General features: G+C 34.9%; 1 protein-coding gene and 1 long non-coding RNA gene across 6 annotated transcripts in view; one reads left to right on the top strand and one right to left on the bottom strand.

Annotated features, from left to right (window-relative positions):
• GABRA1 (gamma-aminobutyric acid type A receptor subunit alpha1) overlaps positions 1–13,656 on the bottom strand; it is a 52,781-nt gene extending 39,125 nt beyond the window's left edge. The window contains exons 1-4 of one of the 5 annotated variants that reach the window (NM_000806.5): positions 13,436–13,656; positions 12,425–12,656; positions 9,963–10,051; positions 6,577–6,689 (exon numbers count right to left, since the gene is read on the bottom strand). In NM_000806.5, the coding sequence (NP_000797.2) occupies positions 6,577–6,689; positions 9,963–10,036 (187 nt within the window). In that variant the 5' untranslated portion in view covers positions 10,037–10,051; positions 12,425–12,656; positions 13,436–13,656. Of the gene's footprint in view, positions 1–6,576; positions 6,690–9,962; positions 10,123–12,234; positions 12,292–12,424; positions 12,728–13,060; positions 13,117–13,435 lie in introns of those variants that run through there. The other 4 variants (NM_001127643.2, NM_001127644.2, NM_001127645.2 and 1 more) reach the window with 4 other exon arrangements.
• LOC105377696 (uncharacterized) overlaps positions 10,254–13,978 on the top strand; it is a 41,745-nt gene continuing 38,020 nt past the window's right edge. Inside the window, exon 1 of the long non-coding RNA XR_941158.4 lies at positions 10,254–10,327. This is a non-coding gene — a long non-coding RNA (uncharacterized LOC105377696). The remainder of the gene's footprint in view (positions 10,328–13,978) is intronic.

Genomic DNA, 13,978 nt, shown 5'->3' with positions numbered 1-13,978 from the left:
GTGCACCTTATAACTTGGACATAGTTGCAGTGGTTACTTTTTTGTAAATGTTTCATTTCTAATTTTTTGTGGATACCTAATAGGTGTATATATCTATGTGGTACATGAGATGTTTTGATACAAGCATGCAATGCATCATAATCACATCATAGAAAACAGGATATCCATCACCTCAAGCATTTATTCTTCATGTTAAAAACAATCCAATTATACTCTTTTAGTTATTTTAAAATGTCCAGTTACATTGTTATTGATTATAGTCACCCTGTTGTGCTATTAAATACTAGGTCTTAGTCATTTTTCCTACTTTTTTGTACTTTCTTTTGTACCCATTAACCATCCCCACCTCCCTCCCCCCATTACCCTACCCTGCCTGATAACCATCCTTCTACTCTCTGTCTCCATGGGTTTAATTTCTCTGATTTTTAATTTCCACTAATAAGTGAGAACATGTGACATGGATGCAACTGGAGGTGATTATGCTGAGTGAAATAAGGCAGGCACAGAAAGACAAACATGGCAGTAGTTTCATTTTATCTCAGGAAAATATTGGCACTGATCAGGTAGATAGTTTATATACCACAGAAAAGATGAAAGTAGCAAGTTGTCTAAACACGCTAGAACATTCCTTTGGGTAGCTCAGTTAAATTCATCAGACAATGTGGCTTCATGAGCTGATGGTAGACCTCAGCCAGTAAATGTTAAAAGGTATTCTCTGTTCATTTTAACAATTCTTCTTGGGGTTTTGGTAACTACCTTTTCTCTATAATTTGTTGAATTATGAAATGTCTAGGTACAGTATTTCTGTGGAAATGTATTGCATTTTGCCAAAGTCTGAGCATCTGCTCCATACCTTGCATTAAAAGCCACAGAGAAAACGACAGCAAATTCAAAAGGAAGGATTCCAGAGTAGAATTTCAAAACATAATACTAAAGGCTATTCTCTAGTAAAGTAAACACAGCAAAAACAACAACAAGAGATTGGATAAACCTAACCATCTTTTAATTTTATTTGGAAATCGTCAGTAATGTAGATTATTTTATCTAATGCTATCACTTTGTGACTGAAATTATCTTGTCCTATTTTTTGAAATTTTGTTTTCTTAATATAAATACAAAATAGATATTTTGACATTAGTTGAACATGAACAAAATGTTTCTCTCTGATCTCAATGTTACAAGGGATATTAAAAAATCAAAAGATCACATGAATATCAGGCATTTTATCATCCCGGGACAGCTCAAAGTTGAATTTTAAAAGAATTAAACTGTGCTGCTTTCCCTATCCTCGAGTCACCTAAATTTTACAAAGTTGCACAAAAAATACTTTGATCTTTTTAGAGCACTCTTAGTTTTCCATTTTTTCTTACTTTTACATAAAGAAATGGAACCCAAGACCCAAGCCAATTCCCTAAGAAGCCAACAGCATCTTGCCAACTGCAGGGAATTTCCAACCCAGCTGCCTTGCATTAGGAGTTGGGAATTCTTACATCTTAAAGCTGAGATCTCTTGCAACAATTAGGCTAAAGGTTAGTCTTAAAGGTTTTATATTGGCATAAATAATTCAAGATTAGGAAAAAATATGATGGTAAGGAGAAAGTCTGCTCTGAGGCATAAATGATTTGTAAAATAATATGTTACTGTTAAAATACATTCAGAGACAGCTCCAGTTACTAACGCTCTTCTAATTGACGCTGTCAAAGAAACTCTATAAATGAAAACAAAACAAAACCCCCAAAACCAAAAAAATCCAAATCTACAACATTTACAGGAAAAAGAAAATGTTAACTAAATATCTGTTAAATGTGTAGCAGGGATAAAGGTAGGCCATTCTCTACCTACAATCTTACTTCTCTATCATCTGCCTCTCCACTCTTCTCTCAGGATTTGTCGTTTTAGGAATACACAATCATCTCTGTTTCCTTTGCTGTCTTTATCTATGTGGTTTGAGGACAAAACTTTTGATGGGCATTTATCATCCAAGTTAGTATACACTGATATTAAGTTGAAGACTGATTCAGATATTATAACAATATTTCCAGGAACTACCATTAACAGGGAGAGAGAGGATGAAAAGGTCTTTCTTCGGAAATTCAAAATGTGACTCAAGACCTCATTCCTTCAGCTATAGCATGTTTGTGTTCTAGTTAAAGAAGTATCTGCCCTAATTTGTTTTCCAAGAAGTGAAATGAATGTGTTTATAGAATAATACATCTTTTGTAAGTTAGATATGTGGAAATGAGCATATGTACAGAAGAAGAAAAAACCCTTAGCTTGGTGGCATCACCTCTTAGTGATAAACTGTACATCAGTGTGGCTCACCTGGGATTTTGGCTTATTGTAAATAAAGTGTAGCCTGTATATATGGTGGGGCAAAAGGGAGGAGAAACATATCACTGGAAGAGTATTAAGTATCCATAAAAGCCTGATTATCTTCCTTCAAAATTCAGCTTCAAATCTCTGTTTATGGATTATTTTTGTCCTATGCCCAAAGTGCAGGGGAAGCCAATATGAAAGTGACTGAAATTTCACGCAGATGGGTGCAGTACAGCAGGAGCATTATTTAATTTTTTAGGAAGCTGGAGAACATCCAGGCTTCCTTCATTTATTATAATACGGGCAAAGAGGAGAAAACTTGGGAAAATGAATTTCCTGGGAAAATTTTGGTTTCGTCCTGATTTAAAACTAAAAGAGCCATATAAATTGATCAAGGGACACTTGAGTCTCCCCAGGCTCATGAGATTAATTCCTCTCATTTTTCATTTCCTCTGTTTTGCTCTTCTTCACTTCCTCAATTCCTCTCCCTCCCCTCTGTTCTCTCTTTATTTTCTATCCTCTTTTGCTTTCCTTTTTTTTTTAACTTTTTTCTTTCACATCTTCCCATTTTTTCTGACTTTTATCCTTTTTTCCTTATTTTATTCTTCTACACTGACCATGCTTTAGGTAAGAGTTCTTTCAAATACATTGCTCAGCTTCTAGTTGTAAGAAAGTAGCAGCCCCCCACACCTTGCCACCAAATAAAGTGATTATGGACAAGAATGAATCCAGTAATTACTGATAATTTTTAGTTTTATTTTCTGGATACTGATTATTTTAACTCAAGTCTATTTAAAAGTGTCTTCATTGACATTGCACTTAAATTATGAACATAGCTATCTTATTTTTCTCTTTACAATCCCAAATAGACCATATTAAATTTTTAGAATTCCACGTATTCTAATCCTTTGTAGCTCTCCTACCTTTAAAAATCCCTTCCTGGAGATACCTCTTTATTAGTCATCCTTTTATTTGCAGTTCTGCATGGTTGCTCTTATCCCTGAAAAGGCAGTCTTTTAAAATAGTTTTACAGTATTTGCAAACTGATTCCTATCATCTAGATTAACCAAGTTATATATTTTGTTTTCTAATTATTGAATCCAAGGTACATATAAACTAAGAACAGTGCTATACCTTCTGATGCAGTGTGTGTTTCTAAAAAACAGGTCATGATGGATTTGCAAATACAGGAGTTTCTTGTATTAGTCTCAAGTCTCAGCTTATCACATTTTTCTATTTCCTGAGGACATTCAGAAGCAAAAATCCCCGTTTTTTGCATAATGTTGTTACTTTTATATAAAAAAAGACTTTTGTCATAATAAAGAAGACAGTGGGCACCTTTATGTTGCAAGAGGAAATCATCCTAGCTGTGATCATAAAATTACTAAGGGAAAACTTTTACTCCCTTAGAAGCTAATGATAATCTCACTTATTTCCTTTACATAGTCTTTTCATCTGGAGGCAAATGGCTCCTATAAAAAAAAGTAAAAAGGGAGGGTCTGTTTTGCAATTGGGATCTACTGGGATGCATGTCATACTTAAAGTACCAAAAATTCATGGTAGATGAATAAAATTAAGTACTTCAAATCTGCAAAAATAAAAAAAAAGCCACAATAATGTCAACTTAATAGCAGCCAGCTATCATGGTATTATCACATTTCTCTAAGTCTATGGCTGGTTATGTTTTTCAAGATGTCTTAAAACTGTACTTAGTATTTTAAACTATAGTTCTCTAATGACAGATACCTTCTCAAAATGTACTTTAAAATGTTGATGACTCTGTAGATATAAGTAATAAACATGTGCCATTTTATTCCTTAAGGATTAAAAAAAATTCCAAAAAAAGAATATTTAAAAAAAAGTTTAATCAGTATCAAAGTTTTTTTCATAAATCTCAAATCCATCACATTTAAGTGTACTAAATTCCAATAGGATGTTTAGAATAAAAATAGAGAAAATATTTGAGCTACTTTTTTGTTTGTTTTAATTTCTATCATACCCTCAAAAGGCATTGTTACCAGGAATCAGAAATATCAGAAAAACCATCTTTAGTAAAGATAAAAGCACATCCACTGTTAATTTTCTCAAGTCCTGGAATTATTGTAGCATATTAGGCTCATTTCACTAAAAGGAAGATAGCTTGTCTATACTTGGACAACTACTATTTCTGCTCTTTAAATACATATCTATTTTTGTTATTTTCTGGGATTAACTGGATGATAAAAGTAGATTCTACAAAAATAGCAGTGTGGCAGTATGAATTAATGTAGTTATTCCTGTAAGCAAATCTACCAGTATCACCAGTATTGAAAATTAGCTTTTCAATATACTCTCAGTCTAATCTTTATATCTTCAAGTTCTATGGCTCTCCAGGGTCTAGGAGTGCATATGAGAATTAGTTAAAATAATTTCACCTAAAATTTATTTGATGAATGGGTTAAAGTATACATTTATTAAAGAGTTATTCTATGCAATTAAAAGGAAATGAACAGTCACAGTTTGCTACATGCACTCTGAACAATAATATAACCACATGGCTAATATTTTAACAGTTTGTGTGTAAAACTATTTAATAAATTGAAGATGATGCACAAATCTGTCAAATAATACTCATATTTACATGCCAAAATATTAAATAGAATTTTCTAAACTAGGATGAAGAGAAATTTTTTAAATATGTTGTAAAATTCTGCTGACTTTTTAGGGAATGAGATCATAGGGTAGGGAGGAGATTAGGTAAAGTAATCAGATACATTACAACCAGTATTTTCAAAAGTCTTGCTATGTAAAATTTATATCACTAGCCTGGCTATTTCTTCTTTTCATACATTCCTCATCTAGCTAGTTTTGTAATTTATCGCAAATTTTATAAATTAAAAAAAATTTGAAGCCAATTGAGATGTTTAAATGTACACAAGCAGTGTTTTAACATATCATATACAAAATTAGGCTCCCCATTTTGTGACCACTCTATTTTGACTTAAAGAATTTTTTCTAAAAACTTCAATATAAACTTGGTGAAGTCTAAACCTGGGGAAATTTGTATAGTATGTCCTAAAATGAATGTTTGAAATTGATTAGAAAGGACACCTGGTAAGACCTTTGACATATATTTGGGTTGTGTCTTTGCCAAGGCAGTTTCCCTTAAACCTCTGAGACTCTAATGACATTTGGCAGCTTCAAAATAGACCCATAATACACAACCATGTCATTATACTGTGCAAAATATTTATTTAAAAGTAACTGTAAATCCATGCAACCATTTAGTTGAAAAATCATTGTTTGAATTTGTAAGCTTTTTATTCTTTGCTTATCTGTGCTGTCTAAATGAAGAAGAAGTGGCTGTCTTAATATTGCCATTTAATCACTATTTAAATATTGCTATTAAATAGCTACTACAAATGCTTTAGGAAAGGTTCAGTATCAGCTATAGTTGGGAATCATGGATTCTAACCTTGGTTTTCTGTGTGACTTTGAAAGAAAATTTATTTCCTTGCTTCACTTGTTTTACTCTGAGATCAATATTTTGATTTGGCTTCATTAGTCTTTGTTTAACCAAATAAGATAGTTTGATTATCTTATTCAAGTGTTATTCAAATGTGTGCAATTCCTAGAACTATTTACTCTTATTGTTATATATATATTATGTTATTAAGTGCTGTCTTCTTCCTAAGCAGAAATGTATCAATATAACCGAGTAATTGATATACCAAGTAAAATAAAATTGTATTACAGAAAATTAGGGTATAAGTTCAAATGCACAGTTAAACCACAACACTACCATCTATCTCATTCCCCTATTATCCTAGAGGTGGTGGCAATTTAACACATAATAGTGGATCAATATGAAATATTCCAAAATAAATGTTTGAACCAATAGAATCAAAGATATCCTGTTGGAATTAAATGCAAACATACCAGTACCAGGTGAGATAGCTGCAGTCATTGTGCTGGAAGATAGAATATTATCCCAGTTTTTACCTATATGATAAAATCGTTACACAGAAAGTACTGTGCTTATCATATAAATGTAGCATCTGCTTCGTGTCATTATTAGAAGTTTGTGTCTGCCTTTTACTACGTATGGATATGAAACTACAGAGTAACTTGAATTAACATAGAGTGATCCATTAAAAATAGATTTGTCATTAAATTACATGTCACCATTTTTATTATTTGACCATTTAGAGGTAAATTAAGGCTGTGATAGTAAAGATCTCATATTATTCTCTAAAACAAAAATACAATAATGCAACCTACCTCCCAATCCTGGTCTCAGGCGATTGTCATAACCATCTAGGAGTCTGTCCAAAATCCTGGTGAAGACAGTGGTATTGTCTTTAAGTTCATCTTGTAATGACGGCTGTCCATAGCTGAAAAAAAACATAAAGAGAAGCAATAGCTAAATTATACATTTCTACTAAAACCTCTTTCCAAATAAATCCTTTCTCAGTTTTTCTACTTTGGTTTCTACTGAATCTTAACTTGAAAATTATTTTTTCACAAGGTAAAAAGGAATGTTATTTTTAAACTCTGGGCATTTAATTATATTTTTAATTTTCAGTTTTTAAATGTGAAAGGAAAATTGTAAGAAATGACTTCTGTCTGTTTACTTTTTGAATTCTTATCATGTTTATTACGTTGCAATGCACGTCTTCTCTGAGCAAGCAAGAATGCTAATGCACATAAAAAAAAATAGAGAAAACAAACCTAGGAAAGTTCTTTCCAAATTAAAAAGAGTTACCAAAACAACTGATTTTCTTTTTTATTTAACATGCAGCAAAAGCCTAAGTTTTTACCTACCAACATCCTTTCCTTCATTCACTTCATATAGGTCTGTGTTTTGGTGGGATTTTCTTGATGTTCTTTTAAGAGATTTAGGTAAAACATTTCTTAGGACAATTATATTTTTACATCAGTGTGCAAATTTCCATTCCTCTTAAGATTCATGACCCAATGATTAAAATTTGTCTGCTCAAACATCTAATTAATTTTTATTATTTCTAGTCTCAGATGTAAAAAGAACCTTTAGAAAGATCAAGTTCAATAATCTTAATTTGTGGTTGACTAAGCTGTAGCACAGTTTTAGTGTTTTGTTTAAGAAGGCACACCTATTTGTGAGCAAACCTTGACCTAGAACCTAGCTTTCTTCAAATTCTAGTCTGAAACTTTATTTTCTTCTTCTATATTGGGATAATTATTTATATTTAAACGTTGCTAGTTGGAGATGTAGCCTGTGTCCCTTACCATTATTAGTCTTTGTGTTTCGACCACATAGTGACCTCAGTTCAAAAATTGTGTATTTCCTACATCAATCACATTGCTATCTATGCTCCTTGAATCATATTTTATGTGATGATTAGCATGACAACTCCAAAATCCTTTGAGAGAATTGTTTTCTATCTTAGGATGGATCACATTTACTGATATATTTCAATCATAGTTCTGACCTTGAGTACAAAAGCAAAATGAATATAGGGTGTAAACTAAGAAACTGCCACAAATATATCACTTTTGTATTTTCTACTTAATATACTTTGGGCTTCATTCCTGTGTGTTGATGTTACTGATAAATATAAGAAAAATAGTAACATTTGAAGCCAGAATTCACTTATTTGACAGCAGCAAGATATATGATCAAAAAATCATTTCAAAAACAAACACTGTTTTGCAGGTAATTAATTTCGTATCGGCAAAATGCAATGGCTATTATTCTGATAAAGTTTTAATTTGATAAAGTTACTAAAACTAAAGGCTATCCATAATATTGGATATATGTAATGTGTCTCTTTGAAACAATTTTTCATTCTCCTAATTTCAACATTGATGCCATGCAGATTGAGGGCTTACTCTCTTTTGGCAAAATTAAACATCTTGCTGTTTTTTTAAATCAAATTTTCAACAAGCTAAGTGTCTTCCAGTATGTCTCATTGGCAGAAGACAACAGTAAGGCAAAAATAGTTTTGTGAATGCAATTATTTATAAAAACTCATTGTCACAAAATCAACTGCCATTCCTGCATCTTTCAAGGATGCTGGAAGGTCATCTTGATAAAGATGGAAAATAAATGCTAGAACACCCTAAGTTGTGAGGAGGCCCTGATCGGGAACTCTGAGGAAGAAAGCAATACAATAAGAAGAAATAAAAGATGAAATGGGGTAACATGACTAAATAAACTTAAATTATTAAAACAATTCTTAAAATATAGAGTGTTTATTACCTTTATCTACACCCTCTAAGTTTTTACAGCTTATATAAAATTCAGAAAATGCTTTTCTTCCTGGTTTTGTCTTACAAATGTTTTCACCAATTGTTTGCATTGGAATGCAGATGCCCAAAGAGACCACTGCCTTTTCCCCAAGACCAGTTCTGCTTTCCCAGCTGGAATGGAAATCTTTATTTTACGTGATTTTTTAATGACATTTCATCTTTACTTCTAACTTACTATGTCAAGTTTTAATTGCCAGAAAAAAACCCTACGAATAAGATGCTTATTCATTTTGTATTAAACACTCATCCCAATGTAGTGTTTCCTAAACTGAATATATATTTTGAAGAGAAATGCCAGTTACATTACCTGATTTTGATTCCATATGAACCACTATATAATAAAACACTGTGCACTAACTCCATCTACAGGTCATTGCAATAGTAACACTTCATATAATTTTTCAAAAGCAGTAAAGACATTTAACTTCTCTCATTAAGGATATCTGATAATAATGCCTGTCTGTCAGTGTTTACCATACACAATAGCAAAAAACAACAACAGAAAACTTCTGAATTAAAATAAATCTTCCTAAATTCATATGTCTTTCCAGACTATTCCATCTCCCTATCTTAACTCTTAAGAGTTCCCTTGCCATTACATTTTGAATAAACTCATGTTTTTATTATATGTCTGACCTTCTTATGGGTCACAGGAATAGGCTACACAAGAAATACAAAAGCAGATAAAGAAAAATCTGTAATACTTAGTCATGTAAATAGTTTCTATTATATTAATTTCACATGCTTGATTGGATCATTAGAACATATTTTGACTATGATTAAGCTTTATAAACAATTAGTAATTGTTTTTTTAATAGGGAAATTTGATTTTACCAAAGTTCTTAAATATTTGTCTCATATAGTCCACTTTTATTAGTTATATAGATAACAATTTCAAAACGTGATATGCATATGCATTTAGAGAGACGTGATTTTCAAATAACAGATATTATTTAAAACTTTCCATTTCTATAAACACAAAAGTTACTCTATGATCTTTACAATAGGCTAGAAATTTTCTTGTTGTTAAATCAGGTTACACAGTATGCAACCACTAATTGGGGTAACTTTTTCTATGAATTAGGAAACCGCACGTTTTGTTCAGTTCCAACTGAACAGTGAGAAGTTCAATCTAAGACTTAAATGTTGAATTAATACATGTCTTAACAATGGCTTGTTAATTGTATTCTAACTAACGTGCAAACATAATGATTTGTTTCATACTGCTCCTCTTTATTCTTAGCTGGAAATTATTGCAGTTAAGTTTTCTGAATTCCCTTAGTCATAAATTCATTTGAGGACAATTTTCTTCCCCCGATAAAATAAATGAAAAGTTACAGAAATTTTCATGCAGATTTTTAAAAAAGTGTCCCCACCTTCTTCCAGTCAGTGTGCTCAGAAGGAGGATCCAGGCCCAAAGACAGTCAGACAGACCTGGACTTTTCCTCATCGCGGGCTGGAGCAGCTGAAAAGTAGAATAAGTAGAGATCAATGTCTCTAGCAAGAAACATCAGGTTATAACCACCAGGGCTGACTGAGGCAGTTTAGATGAATGCTTTGAAGTCAGGAAATGACCTCACTGGGATATGACACCTCATTGGAAGCAATGGAAACCTGGACCATCCATTCTCCACTTTCCCTTCCATTTCTCCATTCAGAAATATATCAGTGTCCTTATTCTCCTGTAAAAGAATACAAGCTGAAACGCTTTCAGGTGACAGTATTGCTCAACATAAAAACTGTGAGTTGTTTATCTCTAGGTTTTATATTTAGAATATAGTTTGGTTTATTCTCTTCTTGTTGTTTATCATCTAAATATTTGGACTTTTAAGATTTCAGTTTCCACAGTGAACTGTGCATTAAAATTTTTAAGCTGGTGTCTCTAACAGGAAGAACATATTTAGGGATTGGAGGGGATAGGTTAACATGTTGTGATGGCTGAATTCCTCTTTGAATTCTGCAGGTACCTTGATTTCAGAAGCAACTGTATTTATTTCTATTTAAAAACATAGGAAACACACTGTTGAATGCCGGAGTCGTGCTTTTATTCTGTTCCTGTGACTGCTTTGTTAAACATGCTTCCTAATGTTTCTGTGAAGCTAAAGGACACACTTTATAGTCAAGCCATGTGCTGATCTCTCTCACATACAAACCACACACACACACACACACACACACAAATGCACACAAACATGCCCACACATATCTTTCAAGCCCTCTCAAATTCTGCCAGGTTGCTGCTAGAAAATGTTTCATCTCAAACAGATGGAAGCTGGAGTGCTTTGCTTTGCATGAATAAAGGGATCTTTTTACCTCTTAGGTAAAGTGCAATCAATCACCATCTGATTGTTGAATTTAGACTTGGTAGTGGAATGTTGGAGAACTGGAAGAGTACAGAAAGCTTAGAGAATTAAAAATGTATATAGTCTATGTGTGGAGTCAGTTTTCGAAATTCAATGCACTACCTGGATAAGGAGCAGCTATGGTAACATTTTAATGTGCTGTAATTAATTCCAGTCATAATATAAGGAATGTTCAAAGTATTTAATCTATATTTCTTTGTAGGGTAAGTGATTAATAGACTGCAATCTTTTAAAGCTTCTTTTTCATTAAACCCTCTATAGTTTAATGTGGTATGCCTTTAAATACATCTACAAAATGCTTTCTGCAGTCTCGGGAAATCATTTAAATCACTAAAAACCATTACAAACAGGCTTGTAAGCAATGAAACATAATATGTTTAGAGCGAAATGGTCTAGAGATAAGAACTCTGAGCCTCGTCATAGCTTTTCCTTAATTTAGTAATTTAGTGACTGGTTTTGAAACAGATTAGTTGACTATGACAAGAAATCTTGGATAAATATTATGTTAAAATGCTACATCTAAATTGCAAAATTTTAATTTACCCTTTTACTAATCTTCATCGTTTGTTACAAGGGAAAAACAACTTTTCTTAGCCCTATTAATTTTTGTTGATCTTTTTAAAAAGATTGAATATCTGAATGGGTAAACAAAACACAGCAAAACCATTTGACAAGGCACCATAGATTTTTGCCCTCTTCTGACATTTTTAAAAGAGAAAAACAAACCTATCATGGCACTTCAGTTGTTAAGAAAGTTTCTTGCAAATACAAACATAATAGTTTAAAAGAAAGGCTAAGCTGCAGTCTTACCACTTTCTACCTTCAACCTCCCCCTCCCCCAGACACACGCTCCAAACGTTACCATCCCATGCCATCCATATCAAAGACTAAGTTGAGTTTTCGTGTTCAGAATGGGAGAGACCCCTACACAAGAGGGCATTTCACCAGCGTCCACTGGAAAGGGAAAAACAGGCAATTTTGCAGCCAGGACAAGAGCGTGCCTTCCCTAGGATGATGGAACAGTGAGACAGGTTTTCCGTCCCAGCGTCTTAACTTTAGATGATGGCCCCCGACGCCCCTCCCCAACTCACCCCAGCTCCCCCTTGCAAATAAATAAATAAATAAAAGACCAAAACAACATGCCACCACCCACCCTGCGGAATACATTCAAATATGCCTAAGAAAGAGGAGAAGAAAAGAAGAAAGACAGCGGGAAAAAAATAATAATAATGCTCTTATATTGCTGCGGTTTCACCCTGAAAGAAAAACATTTCGTTGTTTCTACCTGCTGTGGGATCAGGCTCCTGTCCTGCTCGCTCCCTTGCTCGCTCGCTCGCTCTCCTTCTTCTCTCTCTCTCTCTCTCCCCCCGTCTCCCCCCGCCCCCCCCCCCCGACTATAACATTCCTGTCTCTCCAGCTAGGAAAAGCCACGTTCAAAGCTCTGTCTGTGTATCGTGGTCCAAAGTCGCACTTACCTAAGGCCCCCTCTGGACACAGGATCTCTTAAGACCGGGGAAAAGTCTGGGAGAGAGAATCGTGGAGAGACTGGAGCCAGCGCGAGTCTGCGAGTCCGAGTCCGGGCGCGCCAGAGCAGAGGGGCGTCCTCGCTCTGCCTCTCACTCACTTGGTCTGAGCCATCATGGACTCTGCGTGCTCCTTTGCTGAAGATTTCACACCCAAATTTGCTTCCCAATATCCAATCTGCAGCTATACAACAAAAGATTTCTCTTTACCAAGACAGTAGTAATACGTCCCAGGGCAAACCGGATGTGAAATAGGCGGTGACTTCATGCCAGAGAGATTTTATTTTAGAAAGGAAGGTGGTACCAGCCTCTGGATCTGGAGACCAATCCGCCCATTTTTTATATGCAGCACAATTTAACTTGCACCACTCTGGCCCTAATCCCCTTCTCTCTAGCTGCAGGCTCAAATCCTTCTACAATCTGCTGCAAGCTTCTCTTTTTGGGGGGAGCGGCAATGGGGGAGGGAAGGGTAGAAAGGGTGAGAGACATACGGACTGCACTTAGAGTCTTTTCACACTTGCAATTTATGAACACCCGATTTTAAGGTGAGCCCATTAAAAATACAACTATTTAGTGCAACTATTCTACCTTTGATCAAATATTAAACCACTGCCTGCATATGAATGAACGCAAGCTCTGAAACTGGGAGATGCAGGGTTACACGTGTGGGGAGAGCACTCGTCTCGCCTCTCTCCCTCACACACACACTCCCACACATATGTCTAAGTCCCCGTGTCTTGCAGAGTCACGAATGGTGACGGATGGTAGGAAAGAGTTCTGGCAGGTAGGAAATTGGCTACTGGATTTAGAGAGTCTTTCGCACTTTCTCAGGTTGGGAGCGCTTTCCACCCCACCTTCTTCTGTAGCTTAGAGGACAGCAAGAATACCCTCCGGAACCGGGTTTTTACCTTTGGAGGCAACTGTTTGTCTATGTTATCATGGAGAAAACGCAGGCGCTGTTACCTCTGAATTGTGCTGGGTTCCTGGACGAAGAATATTTAACTAATAAATCACTCCGATCATTTCTAGGTTTGAGAATCATATCTCCATTTCCGGAATCATTCCTTTGCCTCGAGCTCCATCATTCTCGGATTAGGAAAATGGGAGAGGGAGAGGAGGAATTTTTAGAAGTCAGGACGAAATCCGCATCTACTTTTCCCCCCCCTTCTCCGGCATCTTCTGTTACCCTCCCTGGTAGCTCTCCACCCACAAATAATTATACACTAGGAAAGGGGGGTGTGTTTCAACATCAGTCTAACTAAATTTCCAAGGAATCAGGGATGACTTGGTTTCCTCCTCGGATTTTGTGAATGGCTGTTTGTAGCAGAGAGGGGATGGGTGCTGTCTTCCTGGGAGCGCTTACTAAGACCTAAAACACTGGGAGCTGTCCCTTCAGCACTTCCGTCCTGTTATGGCAGGAGGTGCTGAAAAGGTGAGGTGCCCCATACAATGTTTCTGGTGGATAAGGTCTGAGCTTTGGTAAGCTCACTGGTCATTTTCTCCTAG

The sequence above is a fragment of the Homo sapiens genome, chromosome 5 (assembly GCF_000001405.40).
Source record: "Homo sapiens chromosome 5, GRCh38.p14 Primary Assembly".
Lineage (NCBI taxonomy): Eukaryota > Metazoa > Chordata > Mammalia > Primates > Hominidae > Homo > Homo sapiens.
This window is presented reverse-complemented; position numbering and strand designations above follow the sequence as displayed.